This window comes from Homo sapiens, chromosome 6, assembly GCF_000001405.40.
Source record: "Homo sapiens chromosome 6, GRCh38.p14 Primary Assembly".
NCBI classification, from domain to species: Eukaryota; Metazoa; Chordata; class Mammalia; order Primates; family Hominidae; genus Homo; species Homo sapiens.
In genome coordinates this window covers 84,773,801-84,798,172 of record NC_000006.12, presented here as the reverse complement: position 1 = coordinate 84,798,172, position 24,372 = coordinate 84,773,801, and the positions used below count along the sequence as shown (strand labels likewise).

Here is a 24,372-nt window from a genome sequence, read left to right as displayed (position 1 = left end):
AGCATCATTTTACCAGGCTCCACAAAACTATGTCTGTCATGTGCCCAGTGAGAAAGTTCTGTCATGGCAGTTAGGTCAGTTGCATATCTTAGGTTAGATCTTATATTAATTCTCAAGCCATACAAGCCTGATTTCACCACATAGAAGAACCTGCTGCAATCAAAGCTACAACCAAGATCTGCATGCACCACATACAGGAAAGAATTACAGCACAATTAACATAAATATTTAACTGTTTAAACATCTGTGCACAGCAGCTAATAATATGTTGGTTACTCTTTTATACCTGTTTCCCCTGCCTGATTTGTTTTTCCCAGGTTCAAAGTATAAAAATATGAAACATCAATGAATTCAGATATATGTCTCTACCAGAGCAGAAAGGATCCAACTATATGTTAGGATCAAACAACTTCACATAGTTAGATCTTTTATCATCGTTCAGGGACATCAGGGAAGGAAGTGGGATTATCAGCTTTTGAAATACACTAACCTAGATTCTTATCTAGGCTCCACCACTTACCAAATATACAACTTTGGACAAATTATTTCATCTCAGTTTTATTCATTCAGCTGCTTCCATCTTATGCTGCTCCTCATTATGAGATATGATCTTTGGTCTTGAATATATGGTTCTAAATGGGAAAAAAGACAGAAAAACAAGTAAAATACAATTTAAACACTTTCCAGTTACTCAGGAAAGTATTGGCTCAGGTTTCTAGGAAAACAGAACAGGCATTCAAGTTAAAAACAATATATACATGCCTCTCCCAGAGGCTCATATAGAATATATACTATGGAATAACAATATCATGAACACTTAGGATCAGAGCTACCCACTTAGTCATCATTCTGACCCCAAATGAGTGTTTATATCACTTGGCTATGTAATGTGCTTTTTAATGTGCAAATAAAGCCCATCAAGCAAATTCCAAATGTCTGTGCCATAATACTCTGCCCTCCGGACGTCTCAGCATAATTGATCCCAAATTGAATCTGCCTACAAGTTAAGATTCAGTAGCTAGTAAATCTACTACTTACTAGCTACTTGACCTCAGCTTCTCATCTGTAGAATTGTTTATAATACATATCTCATGGGGTCAGTGTGAGGATCAAATGTGGTAGCATATTCATTTTAAAACATGCCATCAATAATTGTCAAGCTCCTAATTGTGTCTTCAGCATTATGGATAGAGTGATAAATGAGAAAGAATAACCACTCATGAGGAGTCTTAAATCAACATTCATAGCACAGTGCCTGCCACAATATTCTGCTCTACAAATAGTAGTTTGTAGGATTCAAAATCTGACAGCCAGAAGGACATTCAACTGTTTATAGTCACAAGAAAGATACATACCCTTGCCATATCCTGATCACATGTCTACAACAAGGTTCTGTGCCTGTGGTCCCCATATCTATATTACTCAATTTTGTGATCATGGGCACACTCAAAGATTATTGCAAAACAATTTAGTTCCAGAAGATTTCAAGGATGATTTATACCAACTGCCCAAGGCTGGGCAATTTACAAAAGAAAGAGGTTTAATGGACATACAGTTCCACGTGACTGAGAGGGCCTCACAATCATGGCAGAAGGCAAGGAGGAGCAAGTCACATCTTACATGGATGGCAGCAGGCAAAGAGAGTGAGAAAGAGCTTGTGCAGGGAAGCTCTCATTTTTAAAACCATCAGATCTCTTGAGATTTATTCACTATCATGAGAACAGCACAGGAAAGACTTCCCCCCATAATTCAATTACCTCCCACTGGGTCCCTACCACAACATATGGGAATTCAAGATGAGATTTGGGCGGGGACACAGCCAAACCATATCACCAACCCACACTTAAAAAGCTCCCACTGATAAATACTTTTGCTGCTATGTATGTAACATTTATTTAAACTTAATAAAAGGAATAGTATTTATTTCCAAAAATATCCCCTCAAGTGGTATGATATCACTTATTACCTATGCATAGTTTTATGTATATCAACCTAAACTGCATGTTATATAATTTCTTCTAGCTGAGCTTCTGTTTTTCTCATTCTTCCATAGAGCAAGTTATCAGATCTAATTTTGAAATATGAAAGCTATTATTCAAAATGTACCAATATTTCCAGGTGCACTTTATGGAAGTGCAGAACTATTTCTCAGAAGCATAAAAGAGTCATTGAAAAATGCTTTAAAGTGCCAACAAGTTAAAAGTCTGTTGAGTTGAGCAGGGTCAAGCTCAGTGGAGTGGAACATTGAGATCTATTTGTCCCAGTCCCACATTCATGATGGGCCTCATATTCAGACTGTTGACAGCCTATGGTAATAAGGGAATTATAATAATTATAATAAGTTTTACTTTGAGAGGTAAAAACATTATTTTATTGCTTGTAAACATTTAAAATATACTACAGTTATTTTAACTCCATGTAATGTTTATTATCTAATACCCTGCAAGCATCAAAAACAGCCCAGGCTCTCTCAAACTTACAGAAGACCTGGAGGAGACAAAAGATGTTCAGACAGCCTTTATATTCTAATATATTTGATTTGTCAAAGCTTCAAGTTGGAACATTAGTGATCAAACAATTTCTCTAGTGATCAGAATTTTGGAAAACTTACACAAGTGAAGGTCATGAGAGTGATTTATAGCAAAACCCCAAATTAATGATTTACTATTAGAAGTACAGCATATCATTTACACTAAGAACAGGAAAGCTGTTAGGAAAGCCTATTTAGGGGCTCCCATCATGAGTAGAAGCAATTTGCTGATGTTATGTTTTTTGTTCTTCAACAAGCATTTATTGAATACCTAAAATGTTCTAAGTAGCACATCAGGTATAATGGCCAGTGGTAAAGAGAGCAGTAGAATTGGTCTCTTTAGAAGATTTCACTGGCCATTACAGTGGATGCTTAATCCTTAATGCTGAGCTAAACTTTGATCCTTAATGCTGCAGTTACTCCTGTAGGCATAATTAGTAGTTAGGTCCCTACTCTACCTCATTCTAGACTTCCCTCATCCTTGGCTGGCATTGTGCTGACTTAGTGGAATTAGACAATCATTCCTGAGAAGTCAAAGCCTTCAATTATACTGCTATGGTGGATGGAATTGCCCACTACCCCTTATCACTGGCCACAGAAGCACACCAGTAGACAAACCAGTGAGTCCTTTGGCTATCAGACATAATTATTCCATGCCCCCAAATTTGTAGTCACAACCCAAGGTCCTAATGATAATCAAATTCACTATGCCTGGCTTTGTTGGTCTAGTTATGCTTAATACAGAATGGCCAGGTAATAATTACAGCTTTCAGGTCAGTGGATCTGACTTTGTCTCCTAGAAGAAGTCACTACCATCTGTGACCAAGGAACTCTAACTCAGCAGACCCTAAAGAGGCAGGTCAGGGAAACAGAAATTCCATAAATGGACTACTGGGAATGGATAAATCCTACTTCTACCTTATATTAATTTGTATCATCATTCAAGAAATACTTTCTACCACTCCAAGATGGTATTATTTGTTCAATTTATTTATTAAGGAAAATGCTTGTGGTAGATAAAAGGAAGAGGAAAAGGAATAAACAGTCAGAGAGTGCAATTCAGGTCTGATATCTGTGAAAGGAAGTAGGGAGGCCGGGCGCGGTGGCTCACGCCTGTAATCCCAGCACTTTGGGAGGCCGAGGCGGGCGGATCACGAGGTCAGGAGATCGAGACCATCCCGGCTAAAACGGTGAAACCCCGTCTCTACTAAAAATACAAAAAATTAGCCGGGCGTAGTGGCGGGCGCCTGTGGTCCCAGCTACTTGGGAGGCTGAGGCAGGAGAATGGCGTGAACCCGGGAGGCGGAGCTTGCAGTGAGCCGAGATCCCGCCACTGCACTCCAGCCTGGGCGACAGAGCGAGACTCCGTCTCAAAAAAAAAAAAAAAAAAAAAAAAGAAAGGAAGTAGGGAAGGTGAAATGCTATCTTTGCTATGTAAATGAAATTGCTTTTATTTCTTCCTACTGCTGGAGATCAAAGGAAAGCGTTCCCCAAATTAATAGTTGCATACCAAGTGTCTCGATGCTGTAGTAGCCAAAAATGAAGCTACCAATACCCACCACCACTAACACACACACACACACACACACACACACACACACACACACACACACTACATTTCCAGTAGTCCTCTTTCATCAACCATGATCCATCTGGTTTTTGCAGAGGTCTGGTTGGTAAATTTAATGGAGACATGATGGAAACCACTTTACATCTTCTAAGTGTTTGATAGCAGTGCTCATTTCAATACCCCTCAGGATGCTGTATGCTTTTGGTACACTTATCCTGGTCAAGAGAGTGGAGGTTAGCCCTAGGAGCTTGTAATTGGCCCTTCATTGTGAGGAGTCTATCATCTTCTAAGTATATATTTGAAGTATAACCATGGGGTAGATCTGCGAACTGCGTGGACCCACAATAAGAAAACCTTGGACTAAAAGTCCATATAGTATCTGAACGTCATAAATCTCCACTCTACCCAGAGAACCAGCATGGTTCAGATCTCCTATTATAAGTGTCAGCTCAGCCGCCATATCTTGCAGTCTTCAAAAAGTCTAGATGTTCCATTTTTCCCAGAGTAAAATTACCCTGGTCACAGGGTCTTTGAGGAAAAGACCTGAATACATTTATCATATGTATCTGAGTTGGCACTTCAGGTTGTTTTTCCAAGAGGAATAGCCTCTTTTTCACTAGACTCTGCTGCTGTGAACTATACCCGGTCTGGAAACCAGGTAAGGTAATGATTTTTCCATGGCTACAACTGATGTCAGCTGTCTGCTTTTTAGATATCAATTATTTTTGTTATGCAAATCAAGCAACACTCAAGTCAACTTCCCCTCCATCTTGGTCCTAAGAAATTTATAATCTATTAGCCATCACCATAGGTCTGTGGTCAAGGCTCACTGATTGCCACTCTTGTCTTACTGCCCATTATAGTAATCATGTTCCTTTTACCTCTGATAACTAATGCTGCTACCAGCCTCAGTTGTTATATAATAACGCCATCCCCATTGATATTGGGATCCAAGTTCTATGACCTTCAGAGGACAACCACAGCCAAAGGTCTCAAAGATATTGGAGGTTCCCTTCACCAGTGCTTACTGCTTTAGAGAATGGATTTTTCCCTCTTGCCTCTCAGGGACATAGTCAGGGGTCTCAGGTGCTAATTCAGTTCTAAGATTTCCACCACACTAAGCCTTCTGACCTTCTTCAATACTCTGCCAAAAAAAGTTCTGGCATTACTACCTTACTTACTGTAGGCCACTGCATATCCAAGTTTCAAGGAGTTATCTCAACAAATTATTAAGACTAGCTATAGACATACTCGTTAGAACACTGAACTGGGTGAAATCCCTATGAATTCTCTCTTACCCAACCCATATGCTTCACCTCACCCCAGTTAACCCCCTCAAGATCCCATCCTGCATGTAATCCCATGTTCCTGCTGGTGTGTGTGTGTATTCATTAATATATATATATTCATATTCATATATATGTATATATACATACATCCTGTTTCTACAATTCTGTTGGTATGTAATTGTTTCTTCTGCATCAGTCTTGTACTTCCCTGCTTAGGCTGTGCTGGGAGCTAACCCTGGTTATTGTCTGGAAGCAATGAAATATGGTGGGGACAGATCTTAATGACAATGAACATCATCGTCTGGGGCATTGACTTACTCGAAGTAATCACATACTCTCCAAGGCCTGGCAAAGGGTTACACATACTCTCCTTGACCTCCTTGGGGTTAATGGCTCTCAGGCATATTCACCCAAGTGTTTGTACCCCAGTTCTCAGAACTCTTTTTCTTATCAGAACTCTCATTTAGACACAGAGGAACTATTGAGCCTGCACATTTAGTTTTTTTTACAGACTTGCCATCTTATAAACAGATCGAGGGACTGAATTTCAGTCCAGTCAGTCATGCAGTTGCAGGAGATGAAAGTTTTGTTAAAATTGCCATAAGGTCCTCTGACTGTCACAGCATGACATAGGTTATCAGTCAGCTGTCTTAAGCCCATATTTTTTTTTTGCAAGGCTTCTGTTGATGTCAGAAGTAGCCATCAACACTGCAATCCTTATAATTATTGTTTTCTCAGATAATGTTCAAGTACAGGAGATATATTCTAATGCTATGTCACTCACCTGTACCTCAGCCAAATTAACCATATGTAACAGCTTTAACAACATATTAAAGCATATTAATATAGTAAAGCACACCAGGGGTTAGTACCATGACACTTCTATACCAATTGCCTTACACTGTGTTTCCTACAGCTTTGTAACTCAAAATGTGATCCACAGACCAGCTGCATTGGCATCACTTGGGAGCCTGTTGGAAACACAGACTCTCAGTCCCCAGCCCGAGTATTGAATCAGAATCTGTACTTCATTGAATTACTCAGGTAATTTTTATGAACATTAACATATGAGGAGGTTTACTCTAGAAAACAGATCCTGAAGCAAAGCTTATATGCTGCCACTTTTTTGGATAATACAACCCCAGTGAAACAACAGAAAGGGAAAACTGAGGTGGAAAAAAAAAGGAAAGCAAATGCATTGTCAATTCACCGTAACTCCTCAGGAAATCACAGGCTCAATAATTGGTCACATGGTATTTCTTCAGGGAGACCACATATAATCATAGTAATTTGGAAGACTCTGTTGTTGGGAGGAAATGGGGGAAGTGAGCAATTTATGTGCTGACTCATCTTTGGTTTCCTATCTATTGGTCAAAGACTTCCACAAGAGGCTTTAGTTTCCCAGCACTTCTGGGTGTACTACCTAGCCCCTTTACACAGCCACCCCAGAAGCCAGAGTTTCTTCAGGTCCTGTGAGACCATACCTAGTTGCTGGATCGTACCCAGACATCCAGGGAAAGTCTCTGTTATAAAATATGTTAACCAAAGTAAATCTAGAGGAAGAGCATCTTAGAATAAACAGTATAGTGAGGTGAAGACTTTACAAAATCTATTAATAGCTGCAGAGAAGACAAGGTAAGTGAAAATGTATTGCTTATTATTTATAGAAAGTTTCAGTTGAAACTTCAATTTTGTCATATATCTTCTAGAGTAATTTATATCAGTCTCTTTTCTGCAATGTTACATGTTCTAATCTTGAAATATGAAAGCTATTGGTCTACAGTAAAATAAGAGATAAAAGATGGTGCATTTGTAAGGCAAAACAGAAGGATTTTTTAAAGAAACATTCAGGGAAAAACGGAAGAACCCTTCACAAGTAAAATATGATAGCAGAAATGAAAACTATATGGAAGGAATGGAAGTAAATTTGAAGAAATTTCCAAGAATGTAGAGCATAAGGACTAGGTAAAATATGAAAGAAAAAGTATATGTAAAAAAAACAAAATACATAGAAGTTCAGTTCAGGAGGTCCAACAAAAGAAGTTTTAGAAAAAAAAAAAGATACAACGCTAATGGGAAAATCTACAAGGTAATTTCAGAAAATTTTTTGTAGCTGAAGGACTTGAGACTCTAGGTTGAAAGTGGCCTAATGTTCAGCATAATAAAATTTAAAAAGATCTACATCAAGATACGTCACCATGAAATTTTAAAACAGTGGGAAGAAAGAAATTATAGGACTTCCAGTAGGAAACAACAAGTTACATCCAAAGAATCAAGAATCAGAAAATCAGATTTATCTACAGCAACATGGAAGCTAGAGGAAAATTGATACAAATAATGGATTTAATGACTTTAAAAATTGATATAATACATTTGGAGGAAAATTGATTTTCACCTGAAATTCAATATCAGCAAAACTTAGTCAAATGCAGGAGTAAAACGAATACATTTTAAAACATTCAAGCTCTGAACATTTTTACTCAGTGTGTGTGCTTTATCAAGAAGCTATGGAAAGAGGTATTCCACCAAATCAAATAGTACACCAAGAAATAGAAAACACTGAGTCCAGATAACAGAAATCCAAGAACAGAGAGAGAAAAAGAAATTCCCCAGGACTCCCTTAGATCCCAGAACCAGAACTGTGCTCAGAGAGTAACTGGGACAGATTAGAACAGGTCAAAAAACTCTGGGATGCAAACCTAGTAGAAAGTGTAATGTGTCTGAATATATTGAAGAGAGGGTTTGACATTTAGGTATCAAACAAGCTCACCTGCAATACCATTTACATAGTCATAATAATGTAAATACTAATATAGATCTAAGTAAAATTGTGATATAACTATATTCTGAGGAGAGGAGATGAGAAGTCTGCAAGTGAGTGATGAGGGAGAGAAAGAAGAGGTGTGAGAGAGAACTAATTTCCCCCCCACCCAGTGTTGAAAGTTAGTAGATAATGCCTTAAAATGAAAAATTAAGAATCTTAAAAACATGGTTTATATGTGAAAAAACTATTTTGCTAACACAATTTCATGTTTTAATTATGTTGCTATGAAGTGTTTGGTACCATCTGGACCCATTCCTCTTCATTAATCATATTTTTAAGTATGCACACAAACACCCCTCTGCCCCAACGTGTTGCGTGCACACACATACGTGCATGCACACACATTTTATTTTTAAAACAGTTTTACTGAGATATAGTTCACATATCGTACAATTTACTCATCTAAAGTGAATTTAATGTTTTTAACATATTCACAGATACATGTGAGTATCATTACAGTCAATTTTAGAACATTTTAACCACCCCAAAAAGAAACCCTGTATGTCTTAGCTACCATCTCTCCCCACCCTCCCTCAACCTCCTCCAACCCTAGGTAAATACTAATCTGCTTTCTGTTTCTATAGATATGCCTGTTCTGGACATTGCATAAGAATAGAAGCATGTAATATGTGGTATTTTGTGACTGGCTCCTTTCTCTTAGCATAATGTTTTTCAAGTCTCATCAATGTTGTAGCATGTATCAGTACCTTATTCATTTTTATGGCCAAACAATATTCCATTGTGTGGATATACCACATTTATCCATCCATTCATCAGTTGGTATTTGGGTTGTTTCTACCCTTTGCCTATTATGAATAATGCTGCTGTAAATTTTACATTTGTTTCTGGGTGAACACATATTTTCATCTCTTTTGGGTATATATTTAGCAGTGGACTTGTGGACTCATATGACAACTCTATGTTTAATCATTTAAGGAACTGCCAGACTGTTTTCTAACACGGTTGCACCCTCTTTTATACTCCCACTAGCATTGCATGAGAGTTCCAATTTCACCACATCCTCACTAGTACTTGTTATTATCTGACTTTTTTTTTTATCATAGCCATCCTAGTGGTGTGAAGTGCAATGTCATTGCAGTTCTGATTTACATTTCCCTAGTGGCTAATGACGTCAAACATCTTTTCATGTGATTATGGGCTATTTGTATATCCTCTTTGGAGAAATGTCTATTCAGATCTTTTGCCCAGTTTTAAATTGGGTTGTCTTTTTATTATTCAGTTGTAAGAGATTTTTATGCATTTTAGATGCAAGACCTTTATCGGAAATATTATTTGAAAAATATGTGTAGAATTTTGTTTTTACTTCCGTAGGTTTTTTTGGGGAACAGGTGGTATTTGGCTACATGAGTAAGTTCTTTAGTGGTGATTTGTGAGATTTTGGTGCACCCATCACCCAAGCAGTGTACACTGAACCCTATTTGTAGTCTTTTATCCCTCACCCCCTTCCCACCCTTTCCCCATGAGTCCCCAAGTCTATTGTATCATTCTTAAGTCTTTGTATGCACATAGTTTAGGTCCCACTTATGAGTGAGAACATATGATGCTTGGTTTTCCATTCCTGAGTTACTTCATTTAGAATAATAGTATCCAATCCCATCCAGGTTGCTGTGAATACCATTAATTCATTCCTTTTTATGGCTGAGTAGTATTCCATCATATATACATGTACACAGTTTCTTTATCCACTTGTTGATTGATGGACATTTGGGTTGATTCCACATTTTTGCAGTTGTGACAAGGGACTAATACCCAGAGTCTACAATGAACTCAAACAAATTAGCAAGAAAAAAACCAAACAATCATATCACAAAGTGGGCTAAGGACATAAATAGATATCTTCAAAAGAAGATACACAAATGGCCAACAAACATATGAAAGATACTCATCATTACTAATGATAAGGGAAATGCGAATCAAAACCACAATGTGATACCACCTTACTCCTGCAAGAATGGCCATAATCAAAAAATAATAGATGTGGGCATGGATGTGAACAGGGAACACCTCTACACTGCTGGGGGGAATGTAAACTAGTATGCCCACTATGGAAAATGGTGTGGAGATTCCTTAAAGGTCTAAAAGCAGAACTGTCATTTGATCCAGCAATCCCACTATTGGGTATCTACCCAGAGGAAAAGAAGTCTTTATATGAAAAAGATACTTGAACATGCATATTTATAGCAGCACAATTCACAATTGCAAAAATGTGGAAAAATATGTGTAGAATTTTATTTGGCATGTTTTGGTAACTCTCTAAATGATCACAATCTCCATTTAGACATATTTTCTGTATTCAAGTTAACTTCAGCATGTTTTGTAATTAAACCCTTAGAATTAAAATTAGATGTGTTGGATACATATTAGCTGTGTTGCTTAGGATGCTACTTCACTTTTCTAAGGCTTAATTACCTCACCTGTAAAATGAGTCTAGAGATAATATCTACTATATGGTGATGTACTAGTGATTAAACTGGGCTAATAGAGTAATGATTTGGCTGCAATTTCAGACAAAAATAGCAATAGCTACTATGTTTATTATTGTTGTTATTATTACGATGTGTACTCTGTTCCAAGTATGTTTATATTATCTAATTTAAACCCTCAGAAAATTATATAAAACCAATATTATCATAGATAATATTTTCCTTCTCTCAAAATTCAGGAACACTTTAAAATATTATTGTTCTATAACCATAAAAAAAGCATTCAGGCCGGGCGCGGTGGCTCACGTCTGTAATCCCAGCACTTTGGGAGGCAGAGGCAGGTGGATCACGAGGTAAGGAGATCGAGACCATCCTGGCTAACACAGTGAAACCGCCTCTCTACTGAAAAAACAACAAAAAAAATTAGCCAGGCGTGGTGGCGGGTTCCTGTAGTCCCAGCTACTCAGGAGGCTGAGGCAGGAGAATGGCGTGAACCTGGGAGGCGGAGCTTGCAGTGAGCCGAGATCGTGCCACTGCACTCCAGCCTGGGCGACAGAGTGAGACTCCGTCTCAAAAACAAACAAACAAACAAACAAAAAAAGACGCATTCAATAACCACTGCCTGGCTAAAGATAATTACTGGATTAGGATATTCGTTAAAATTATTTAAATTTAATTTTTCAAAATCCTGGTTTATTTACCTATCCTTGTGGAGTTTAATTATTTAAACCTAGTATGACTTAAATATATACTGTTTTGTTTTTAAATATATACTGTTTTATTTAATGAAAAATATTGACAGTGTTTATTTTGGCATCCAGTTAAATTCTTTAGCAAACATTCACTTTTTTATTAAATAGATTTTCATAGTCTTTCCTCGAACATGTTTTAGTGATTTATATTCACTCATCACATTAATAAACTAAATGATAAGCAATTAATTAAAATGTTTATTTAAAATACCAGAGGATAATATTTCAGTAGACAGAATTTTTTAAACAGCACATGTTAAAAAAGAAAGAAGGAAAACGTTTTGTGGCATGTACTATAAAATTCCATTGTCTCTGAAAACAGTCATCATGCCTTTTGTATTTGCTGAATTTTTAATTTACAGATGGCATTAGAGTACTAATTACAAAGACACCTTTTGGAGGGCTGCAGAAAGTTTCTATAGGCAGTTATTAAAACTAAATACATTAATCTGTGTAAAGGCTATTTCGTCTTTGGATAAATAATGTATATGCTCAGATTCCACAATTATTTGAGAACCAAACACTGAAGTGAATGCTGTCATATCCCTGGAATATTATTTCTTTTACTCCTAAGAGCAATGAGTAGAGGCAAGTTTTATTATTACCCCTATTTATACAGAACAGAAAACAGAAGTTAAAAGAAGTTGTATGTCTTGGCAAAAGTTCTTCAGCTCCGAATATTTAAGAAAAATCTATTCTGTTGCTTGCATCAGGAGTAGGTGATGAAGTCTTAATTAGTGAGTAGAGTGGGCTTTTCTTTCCTTCTTCTTCTTCTTTTTTGTCCAACAACTCTTCTATCCTTGGTGCTCTATAGCAGTGATTCTTCAAGTATAGTCCTGGATCAGCGACAGCAGGATTGCCTGGTAACTTGTTAAGAATGCAAATTTCCCAGGCTTACTGAATCAGAATAGGAGGATAGAGGGTGGGTGTGGTCCAGTATTCTGTGTTAAACAAGCCCTCCAGATGATTCTAAAGTGTAAGAATCACCACTCTATAGAAATTGCTCTCTCAATGATCACTGTCAAACTCTTAATTCCAAAGTCATTGACCTTAGTTTCTATGAAATTTGCCTCTTTGGTGGCATTTAATATAACTCACCAACATCTCATTCTTCAACATCTCATCTCTTTCAAGAAACTGTTTTCTTGAACACATTTTTGTCTTTTCACCCCTTCTGAAACATCCTCTCACTGGTTTTCCTCTTTATTCCTAAAGGAGGAGATTTCCTAAGGTTCCTAAATTCTCTTTTTACCTCTGCTCAGGATTGTTCATTTCACCAGCTCTCACAGCATTATACATATATCACTGACTTTCAAGTCCCATCTCCTCCTGAGAACTTTCAATTCGTAAATTATTTTGTCATTAACACCATTTGTTGGGACACTACAGGAAAAAAGAAAAACATGCCCTCAGGAGCAGATTATAGAAATTTACAAAACATTTGTATGACCATTAAACCTTCATGTTTTGTGGGCATTATCTCAGCATTCCCCAAGTTACTAAAATCACCTTTCTCCCTAAACTTTATTTGCTTTTTGAGTCCAATATCAGTTAAAAGTACCATCATCTACACTGAAACTATCTGACCCCTCACTTTCCTTTATCGCCCATACCTGGCCAATACCCAAATCTCTTTGTTTCTGTAAAAACATGTCTCACATGCATCTCCCTTCCTCACGGCCGATGCCTTGTGTCATGTTCTCATCTATGCTGTAGTAGATTGTAGTATATAATAGACTGCAGTATATTACTACCTGCTTTTCCATTCTTTTCTCCATCTAATGTATCTTTCACAGTGTTGTCTGACTTATTTCCCTAATATTTAAGTTTTAGTATTTAAAGTCACAACATTACTCTGCTTAAAAACACCCAAATAAACAAATGAAACACTTTAATACTCCAAAGTGCCCACAAAGACAAAATTCATAAATGAAACACTTAAAATTCTAAATGTAGCTTTAAATTCACCTTTCCCACTTATACGCTGGGCTGTGGTGGAAGGCATCAAGGCTCCATCTAGCTTGTGGCTGTGCCTTACATGGCCTCCATTCCCAAGACAGCTAAACATATAAAGGAATTATGTCCACTTTCCAGTTATTTTCCTTTCAGGAGGCTTCCCATAAGTTGTCACACTGAGGTAGCTTAGAGAGGGTGATCATAGCCTCCCTTAAAGGGGCACAAACTTGCCATAATGATGGAGAGAGCAAACTGCTCAACAGTGCACAAATTGCACCCTGATCTTGTGGCTAGAACATCCTGCAACAAGGGAGTAAAAGAGCAGAAGGGAAATCCTCATATTCACACAAGTACAGAAACCCATGAGTAGTCTCCTTGGGCTGACCTATGCTCACTATAATAATAAAAAACACACCCCTGGGTGGAGAATTAAAATGTTAATGAGACATGTCATATATGTACTAGTATGTACAGCAATATCACATGCACATCCAGGAGACCACTCACAATATGCTTAACAACAATGCCCATTCCCATCCCTTTATAAATAATCATGCAAGATTCCCATAAAGGAAGTTTCCTCAGTGCCATATGGTATTGTCTCATTCTAGAACAGTCTGCTCTGACCAAACTATCAGAGTGTATGTTCACTTTGCAATAAACTTCTTTACCTACCTTCACTTTGGACTTGCTCTCAAATTTTGTGTGTTGAAGTCAAGAACCTGAACCAGCCCACTGAAAAAAGCACTTCTGCTTACATCCTATCGTCCAGAATTTAGCGCATGACTGCAGCAACTGCAAGGAATCTGGGAAATGTAATTTCTATTCCAGGAGTTATGAGTTCAGCTAAAGATTACGGGTTCCGATACTAAGGAAGAAGGAGGAATAAAAGGTGCAAGACCATCAGCATCCTCTTACCCAGTGTTTCAAGCTTCCATTCTCGGAGAAATTCCCTAATACACAGTCTCAGTCTCACTCTCCAACAATACATAAAGGAAGCATTTCTGTATTTGAAAGATAAGTGCCCCTCCCACATCAGCATTTTACTGTCAGAGTAGAAAATACCTTAGAGATCATCTCCAGTGATAGTCTACAAACGGTTTGTTACTAATGCATAAAGAGGTAAGATCAAAAGTTGAGAATAAACACTTAAGAATTCACAGAAATTTTACATTTCTGTAACATCTAAGCTCATGATCAGTATACTTACCTCGTTGAATAGAGTACATACCAGTTTGAGTGTAATCTAATTCTCTCGGTAAATCATACATGGCACAAGCTGTGTGTAAGTCATGTATACTAGGACCATGTATCAGTCCAAAAAGAATTGGAAATTTTTTAAATTAGTCCTTGACAGAGTTTGAGAAGCATGGATCTAAGCCAATTTAAGGGAAGATCTGGGGCCAGAACATGGGGTTTCTGACTTCTGGACCAGCATTAGCTGTCAGGTTCTTAACTCTTCAGATGCTGGCATTGATGCCACCAATCCACATCTCTGACCACCTGGGGGTTCCATAGCCATTCCTCATCAGAGCTCTAAACCTACTGTGGCTACTGCTGAAATCTGATTGGCTTCTTTCTATCCAGACTTCAGTGCTCCTGGGATGGGTCTTGCACACCTGAGTTCTATGGGATACATTCCCCAGCATTTGCCTCCACTCCTATCTCTTACCTTCAACACCATTCTAGATCCTTCCCCAAATTGCACAAACTGTAGAAAAATTATGACTCTCCTACCCAGCTTTAAAAATTCCCACTGCCTAAATGACACCCCTGCAGTATTCCCCCTTCCGTAACACACACACACACACACACACACACACACACACAAACACAAACACACATGTGAAAAAAGCAGTTTGGACACAATCCACTCTCATTTGAATCAATAGTCACCCTTTACTGGTCTGACCAAGTTGTTAAATAACTAATTCACTGAATTGTTATTGATTTTTTTCAAAATGTTAGTTTTAGTGAAACTAATCAGTAGTAGATTTAGCGAAACTACATCAGCAGTTTTCACAGATGATTTCATAGGTCTGTTCATTTCAATGTCAGTTTCCCATGTGATTCACATTTCAGATGCTGAAGCATTTTTCCAGGATTTAACATTTAAAACATGAGCAGACAAGCTTTCCTTTAAGTACAGTTTACAGCCTTCTCTTTTCCCAGTGGCATATGCCCCATCCTTGCCTCTACTTCTGCTAGTGAGAAGCCTTTTAAAGCGCTCTTCTTTCTGGTAAAATGTACTTCCTGGATGGTTACCCTGCAATTGGTAATCTGGCAAATTGATTTTCAGACAACTGATCTAGAGCCACCACCAAGGGCTACCTCCTCTCATAGTTAAATTATGTCTTTATTCACAAAGCAAATGTTTTCAGCAGCCTGGAAGCAAATGTTTGGTGGAAAAATTATTCACCAAAATTACTGTTTTTACATATATTCAGGATGCCAAATAGGATATCAAAAAATTCTCCCCCCCATCCCACCTCCCTAAAATATGTTGCTTCCTGTTGGCTTCTTCCATGTGCTGAAATGAAGGGTCACAGCTGTTTGTGTGTGGATGTGGGGGTGTGGAGGGGGGAAAGGAGAAAGCAGAGAGGAGAGAATGACATGAGGAAGTACAAGAGTAAGGCCTCTCCTTGCCTTTACTTTATGTGGCACTTTACCATCCTAAAGCACTTTCAAATATATAGTCTCATCCAACCTGCAGAGTCAGTTAATGCATTTGCCAGGGCCCACATTACGCTCTTCATTTTTCATTTGAGGAAATGGAGGCTCATAAAAGTTAAAGAACTTACCCAAAGTCATACAGGTAGTAAGTGAAAGAATCTGTACCAGAAACAACCTCTCAATTCTTATGGTTTGCTTTGTCCTGACTCCTACTTGGACACTTTTTGACATTTTTCCCTAAAAGAATATTACCCAAATACTTTTACCTACATTTCCTTTAGGTACTATCATGGGTTTGCCTCTGACTATGCTTTCCTTGCTTTATTAGTAGAGTTAATTGATTTTTTATTTACCATACAGTTTACTTGGCTATAAACTCCTGAAGGCCAAGGCCACATCTTCTCTGTGGTCAGTACAGTTTGTAACATGTATCTCCTGTCACTCGGTGGATCTCCATTAAATTATTTTATTTGGCTAGAGGCTTCCTTAGGTGCTTTTGATATGGCCAGTGAACATTAGCCAATAAAGCAATTTATAAGATTCTGGAGGACTTGTAAGACTACCATACAAGTTCAGAAATAAGAATAATGTTAAGCTATTTTAAACAATAAATGCAATTGTTCTAAAAATAGACAACACATATGTTTTCCTAGTCTCTTTGACCCAATACAGATTAGCTTGCAATGTCCATTTTCTCTCCTAGAATAGAAAGATTTCTAGTTTTCTTCTCTGCTGTAGTTATCATCTGGAAAATTTGATGGTACTGGTGTTGAACCAACTATCCTAAATGGTATTACAATATACTGTTCGGTGAGAAGGTAAAATGCAGACTGTAATGGAAAAAAAAAACTTAACAAGAACACTGCAACCACTTTAGAAGTATAAAGCTCCTTCCACAGGGTAGTTGGGACACTAAAACTTCCATCAAAGCACAAGAAAATAACATCAGTGCTCTGTTATCCTCTCATAAATTAACCAGACCTGAGCAAAGACATAGAGCAATGTCAACCCTTGTCAAACCAATAACAAGATTTGACATCTGTTAAATCATTAAAGATACAAATAAAGTGTTAACCAAGACAGTCTGAAGGGCGAGTGCTGATAGCATGTATTAGTACTAAAAGTAAAAGACCAGAAAAGAGGTGATCAAATCATGGATTTTGGAATATCACTACAGCTTGTTGGCAAAACTTTCCCAAGTTTCAAGTCACTGGCAACTACTTTGGTAATAAAAAGACTATGGAAATCTGTAATAGAATGGCTTTGGGGGCTTTTAACACTGATATGGCTGTTACCACAATAAGTGGGTATCCCTTAGTTCTTCACATCCTCATCTTCCTGCGGGCACCTTGTTTCAATTCCATGACATGTATTTCTCCCCGACCTCAAAGAGAACTTTGTCCTTGAACCAGTTCCATAAGTGCAAAGCCAAATAATGGCCTATAGCACTCCACCTAGTTTTTACACCTGATTCAACAGTAGATTCTACTTTCTCTGTCATTTGAGTCCAGGGGCATACTGGCCTTGGTGTTTCTCCAGCACAGAAAAGATAAAAATTTCCCTTTAAAACTTATGACAGACAGAAAGCTAGGTAGTCATCAAATTGTTTTATTTCCTTTTTCCTGGGAACAAAGAAATGCTACATTTCTCCAGATTCTTCTGCAGGTACATGGGGCTTTGGGGATGATTTCTTGCCAGTAGAATGTGAACAGAAATTACAATGTCACTTCCAGGCTGAGGTAATTAAGAACAGGTGCACTTTCTCTATACTCTTTCCTCCCTTTCCACTGCAAACATGGAAGTCAAGTTCCATGGAAGTCAACTCCACAAAAAGGAGTTCCATGGAAGTCAGCTCCACAAAAAGGAGTTAACTTCTGGGTCCCTGAATCACCAATTGAAAGAAGGATGCACAGAAGAGCCACCTGATTCACTCGGCTCTTAAGTGAGAAGAAAACTATTGAGTTATTCCACAGTTATTCAGGGATTGTGTTATATTGCGGTTAGCATTAATTTTGATGACTAATGAATAACTGCTAGAATGTTGATAGTTTCTAAAATAAATAATCCTAAGATTTACAAGATAAATGTACTGAAAATCTACCATATAAAGATTTAGATGATACATGGATGGGAATAAACATACATCCAATTGAGCTCAAGGAAACCTAACTGGCCTGAAGGGGAACAGAGATCAGCTTCCATGTGTCAATACATGGAGATTCCTACAGCTACAAGGGGAGGTACAAAGGAAGTACTATTTCACATCATACCCCACCACACCCTTGGACCTGGCAGTCAAGGAAAAGATCTTCAGCAAGAATAGCCAGAGTGCGTTAGCTCACTGAAAAGGACTTTCACTGCTGTGTGGGGATGGGGCTAGGAAAAGAGAAGCAGGAGAACCCAGAGCAGGAGGGAAAGGCAACAAAACTGGACCACTTTAGCAATGCCTCCAACATGCAAGATCCAAGCTTGTACCCAGGCTCAGCAATGGGAAATTGGTTTGACCATGGAGATGGCATCAGTAACAGAGGCAACAGCAAAGTTCAGCCACTTGGTGGCATTCAGCAGTAGCAGCAGAAGCTCCAGAAGCACCAATCTTCTAGGGAAAAAGTGTGTGAGTTCTGGGCCAGCTGGCTTAGGCTGAGGCTCTGGGTTGGCTACAGCATAAAAGGCTGCTTGGGGGAACTTCAGTTTAAGGTGAGTATAACGGCCTGATGGAGGCAGGGCTGCAGTCCCAAAGACCTCACTGGTAGAAGGAGTTAAAATAAAAAAAAGACTCTTCATAGGGATTTATTGTATCTTCTCTTAGCAGTATTACTCTAAAGATCTAAAGAGCAGTCTACTGGTTATTCTGGAATCCATTACAGAAGAGGAATCTAGAGACATACATTTCAAACAAGAGTAGAGCTGTCTTCTCACTCCTTTTTTTAAAAAAAATCTCCATTTCCCTGGGAGAGTTTTACAGAGCTGACAAATATGGACAAAGAAACCATGCCACAGGAACAGGCAGGCCTCTCCGTCTGCCCATACTGGGGACTAGGAAGACACAACTCAATACCCACTACCTATCTTCATCAGATGAGAAAAAATTTCCCCCCATGTGTCTTTCTCCTTTCTGCCATCATAAAGCCTCCTTCTTTTCTGCCACATTCTATACATTAGCTAAGGGAAAGAGGTGAATAATTGTTCTAGACCATTCAGCCTGTACCCTTCAAACAAAAATAACAACCACAAGCATGACTGTATATATCCTGGCTGACATGGAGACAAGACAGTAATACCTGACAGAGAAGGAGCCTATGTGTACCAGTGCCCCCAAAGTCTAGCTGTCTCTGCCAAACAATGGGAGAGTGTTAGCTTGCTCTCTAATTATTTTTATTTTTTTGAAGCAGGGTCTTGCTCTGTCACACAGGATGAAGTGCATTGGTGCAATCATGGTTCACTGCAGCCTCAACTTCCTCGGCTCAAGCGATCCTCCCACCTCAGCCTTCCGAGTAGTTGAAACTACAAATGCATGCCACCACAACCAGCTATTTTTTGAAAAAACAGAGACAGGGTCTCACTATGTAGCCCAGGCTGATCTCCAACTCCTGGGCTCAAGCAATCTTTCTGCCTCAGGCTCTCAAAGTGCTGGGATTACAGGTGAGAGCCACTGTGCCCAGCCATTGCCCTCTTTTTAAATCAAATTAGTGTATGTTATAAAGGGTCAGATTTTATTCACTCAAAACTACTTATTGAGCACAGTTGTGCAAAACATGGAGCTGGCTCTTTTGGAAACACTGATGTAGACACCTGTCCTGAACTCATGGGGCTTATGCCTAACAGAGAAGATAAGAAATAGTTTGCAATCACTATAATACAAGGTAGGAGTGCTATATCCCTTAAAAGAGGAAGACAGAAAATGCCATGGCAGTTAATTCAGAGAAAGATGAAGTCACTCTCAGCTATAAAGTGGATTCAGGACCATAAAATGTTGGTGCTATGTGTCACCACTGGGATCATCCTGTCTAAATACTTCAGGCAGAAGCTCAGCATGTTGAGTAGTTACTCAAATTCATAGAGCCAGTGACAGAGCCAACAAGCCTCGGGCACCCTCTTCTGACTCCAAGTCCTTGTCCTCCCTGCTATGTCATGTGGCTTCTTGGAAGTTTAGTCATGGGGCTGCATCAAGCTGAAACAAATTATCTGCTGTTCTAGATTTGGCCAATCAGTACATAAACATCATGAGGTTTCTGACCTTAGGAAGCTTACAATCTACTAGAATACATCAAACATGCACATATACTTCTCCATACTTTTCTAAGATACAGCTAACCTTGGGAAATATAATATAGGGTCTTAGATACACTGGATTGATAGTTAATCTATTATCAACCCACAAGTTTTTGCAGGAAGAGAAGGGTAAGAGTTTAGTGGATGCTTAGCAGGTGAAAGAAGGGAAGACAGAAGAGGAACAAAAACAGAAGACCTCTCTGGAGGCCAATTGCCTGGATAGTCTTAGGTGATAGATCCAGAACAGAGAGCTCATCTCCATAAAACCTGGCACCACTGCTGGGTCTTAGCAAGTACTCAGTTTAAAAGCACTACACAGGAAGTGGCAGGATGAGGAAGGATGGTGGGAAGAGAGTGTGACCTTTTTTAGGCTCCCCCAAATCCCCAGTACTGAATACTTTAAAAGAATATTGACTTTCTGTAGTGACATGCAAAACCTCCCACTCCAAAATAATATTCTTTACCTTCTTTTGGATATACTTACCTCCTTTTGGAACTAATTCATGCCATGACTTATCCCAATATTAAGGTGATTCAGCTAGCTGCCATCCCCACTGGTGACTAGGAGTGGGGCTGCTACAGAGAGCAGTCAGGGACTGGCCCACTCCTGTACTTGCTGATCTAAGACACATCTTACCAGCACTCACTGCTCTCTCCCAGAAACTGGCTCCACTCTTTAACCACTATAGACAAGCAGGGAGCGTGAGGGAGCTCAGAGATCTTGCTCATCTGTACTGACAGATCTTGGAGCTCAAATTTTAGCATTCTCCTTTGCTCTGAGGTCCAAAAGAAGAAGTACCCTTGAATGCTATGAAATTGTGAAAAAGGAGAAAGGAAACTAACATTTGTGGTACATTGATGACAATTAAAACAACAATAATAGCCTAACACTTATAAAAAGTTTCTGACATGTCAGGCTATAGAATAGTCTCTCTTTCAGCTAATAGGATAGATTTTCTCCATTTTAATAAAAATATGGGGTCTCAGAGAGAGAGTGAGAGAGAGAGAGAGATGAAGTGCCTTGCCAAGGGTTACAGCAGAGCAGGAAGTCGGCACTCAATCCAGGTCTGATTCCAAAATTCAGACAGCAAACTGCCTCTCTATTATAGAGAAGCAGCTTTAATCTATATGTAACAAAGTAAAAATAGCCCAGGAAGAACAGCTGTGTGTGTTGAGGTGAGGCAGGGACAGTTGGTTTCCCGAACAGAGCAGCATGTTAAACATACTATTGCTACTGCAGCAAATATCATATCGTCGTCATCATCATCATCATCATCATCATCATCACCACCTTAGGGAATATATTGCTTTCTGTAAGTAACTGATATGATTTCTTCTTGTCTTTTGATTGGGTAATGTTTTGCTTTTTACTTTTGCTGCTAGGAAGCTCTGAGACAAATTTAAAGTTCCTCTTTAACAACTATCTAGTATTTTCCATGCATATCAGAGTTCTTATTTTCTTCTAATCTTGACTCTGGATTGTGATTTCAGTTTTACCCGGTTTTAATCATTTACTCACCATTTACATATTTATTATATGTATTCTCCAGAGACTTCTCAAAACCTTAGTGGAATAAGGTAAGGTATGCATGACATTAAAAAGAAAGGTAATTTACCTGGGTAGGGCTTTCATCTGTAGCATCACACAGATTCTTTAATCCTTTGAATTCTATTGCTAAAAAAAATTCTGAAGAAAAATCAAGACACCATCTGGCTGCCTTTGGAAAGACAGAGGTACTTCGGGTCTTTGATCTGTTCTGCACATGGACTGGGAGAGGCAGAGAGGACCAAATCTCCCTGACACAGACAATCGTTTGCTTTATTAAACAAGTGTCTTGTATTACACACAGAGAGTATGCATTATGTGGATGCACACAAAAAATATGATGAAAAGTAGATACTAAGCATACTGAGTACTTTGGGTTTTGAATCATTAACATCACAGCTGTTTCTAATAATTTTTCCCTAAATGCAAGCTTATTTCCACAACATGTACTAATGTAACTGTAACTGCCCCAAAATGTTTCATTTTGTAAAAAATGAAGCCTTAGAAATAACTATGCAACTGAGAGTCCGTAAGCACTTTAGATCACCACCCTATATGCCTTTACTTTGCTTTTGTTTTTTTTTTGGTCAGCTATCATTCAAGATGGGGGCAGTTTGAAACAGTTGATTTACTGATAAACTTGTGAAATGTGCCCTTCTAAACAAAAAAAAAAGTGGGGGGGGCAAAAATAACTTCACTAATGAGAGAAGTCAAAGAAAGTTACAGGTGGAGTGTCCTGGGATTTTAAATGGAAATGCAATGGAGGAGTTGCTCATTCATCCACCACTACATGGAGCGATGATAACGGTAATGGGTCTTGGGAACTTGACTGGGAAATATCCCTTAGCTGGCCAGGGCTTGAGGATACTTGGCATTTTTGTTTGTCGGTTGGTTCGTTTGTTCCATTAAAATTCTGAGGTTTAGACAGAAATTCATAAAATAAAATCTGGGGTTATCTCACACTCAAGCGCAAAGAACATTTACGTTAATATTCCTTTCAGGTCCCTCCTCCTAATTACCTTTTATTTTTAATTGTTTCCCTCCATCCATGTGGTTGCTCGCTTTTCCAGATGGCTTCATATTTTTGTAAACGGTTGGGAGACTTAGTCTATCTCGTGGAGGTTCGGCGCACAGAGGCCAGTGCCTTCTTTAGGTCGCTTCTGAGCGACTCGAGACGGCCTCCCTCGAATCCGCAGCAAAGAGCAACAGACAGGGCTTCCCTTTCAGTCTGGGTTGCCATGGGGCACAGCTCCTGCTCCGGCCCAGAGTGCCAGAGTCTCCCAGGGCTGCTGCCTTCAGCCAGGTGGAGGGGTCAGCGCGGAGCCAGGTACAGAGCTCCTCCGAGCCTGAGACGGCGGGAGGTGCTGGGCTAGGCTGCGCCTCCCCAGGCAGGACGCCAGGCAGTGCGGCGGACGGTCCCCAGAGGGCGCCACGTGCCCCCGCCCGGTGCCCGGCGGCGCTCACCCGCCCGCAGCCCGGCGAGTCCAGCGGAACCTAATTGCCCATGAACCCCTTTCTGCGGGGTCTGGAGAGGGGGAGCAGGCCGGGGCCCGAAAACCCCCCATCCCACCCCTAAATCTGGGCGGACTGTGAACAGCCACACAGTGGGACAGTTAAGTGTCTCTGCCAAGCTCGGTCCTTCCCTCACCGGGATATATTATCCCGCCACCATCCGGCAGGCCGGCCGGGGATTATTATCCCCGTTGTAACGCAGAGGAAGTTATGGCCGGGACGCGGTCAGGGTCACGAAATAAAAACATGTGGACCCACGGCGCGAGCTGAGCTCTGCCGGCCTACCCCGCCCCCGAATCCTGTAGAGCCAGGCGAGGCCGAGGCCCTAGGCCCAAGGCCGGGGCGTATTCGGGTTTACGTCTGCGGGAGAAAGAGGTGGGTGGTGCGGCTGGCGAAGTCAGTGAGGGACCGGAGACAGCCGGGCCTGGAGAGAGCCGGGACCGGAGAGTCGGGGCGCGGGCGCCGCGGAGGCTCGGAGCCGCAAGGAGGCCCAGGCTCCCCGGGACGCGGCCACTGTACCTCCATAGCCAAAGCGGCGGGCGCCCAAGGCCAGAGCGCTACCGACGAGAAAGTCGGGGCCGCGCCGCCCGGGAACTAGAGCTCCTCGCGGGGACTTTTAAGTTTTCACTCACTAGGCTCTGAACCTATTTTTAAAAAGCAATTCTTTATTCAGATATGTAGAAGACTATGAATGACAGCTCCTTCTCCCCAACACCATTCCCGCCGGAGCTGCCCAGGTACTCCACACCTACCGCCTGAAGCGAATCTGCGGGCGCACGCACGCACGCCCGTCGCGCGCAGTCTCCGGGTTGGCCTCGCCTCATAGGCTGCCGGTGCAGTGCGGGAGCGCAGCCCGGGACACCGTTTGCGCGGTGGTGCGGTCTTATAGGTTCCAGGGTTTCTGAGGCTTTTGGTGAGCATTACGAGTTCCCCTTAGAGGAGTCAGGCGCCTTGCGGGGCTAGTGGCATGTGGTGGCTGTGGCTGCGCGCCCTTCTCGGCCGGC

At 40.1% G+C, this 24,372-nt stretch overlaps 1 long non-coding RNA gene across 1 annotated transcript, besides 1 other annotated feature; it reads right to left on the bottom strand.

The window, feature by feature from the left end:
• Positions 1 to 542: 542 nt before the first annotated feature.
• Positions 543 to 24,367, bottom strand: LOC124901494 (uncharacterized). The gene is made up of 2 exons (XR_007059927.1): positions 24,121 to 24,367; positions 543 to 632 (listed from the first exon to the last, which is right to left on the bottom strand). It is a non-coding gene; the product is annotated as an uncharacterized LOC124901494 (long non-coding RNA).
• Positions 23,207 to 23,356: a silencer, noted in NCBI's record as "silent region_17363". NCBI's record gives its function as "represses an Ori minimal core promoter by ATAC-STARR-seq in GM12878 lymphoblastoid cells {active_cell/tissue: GM12878}" and the evidence as "EXISTENCE:reporter gene assay evidence [ECO:0000049][PMID:35858748]".
• Positions 24,368 to 24,372: the final 5 nt, after the last annotated feature.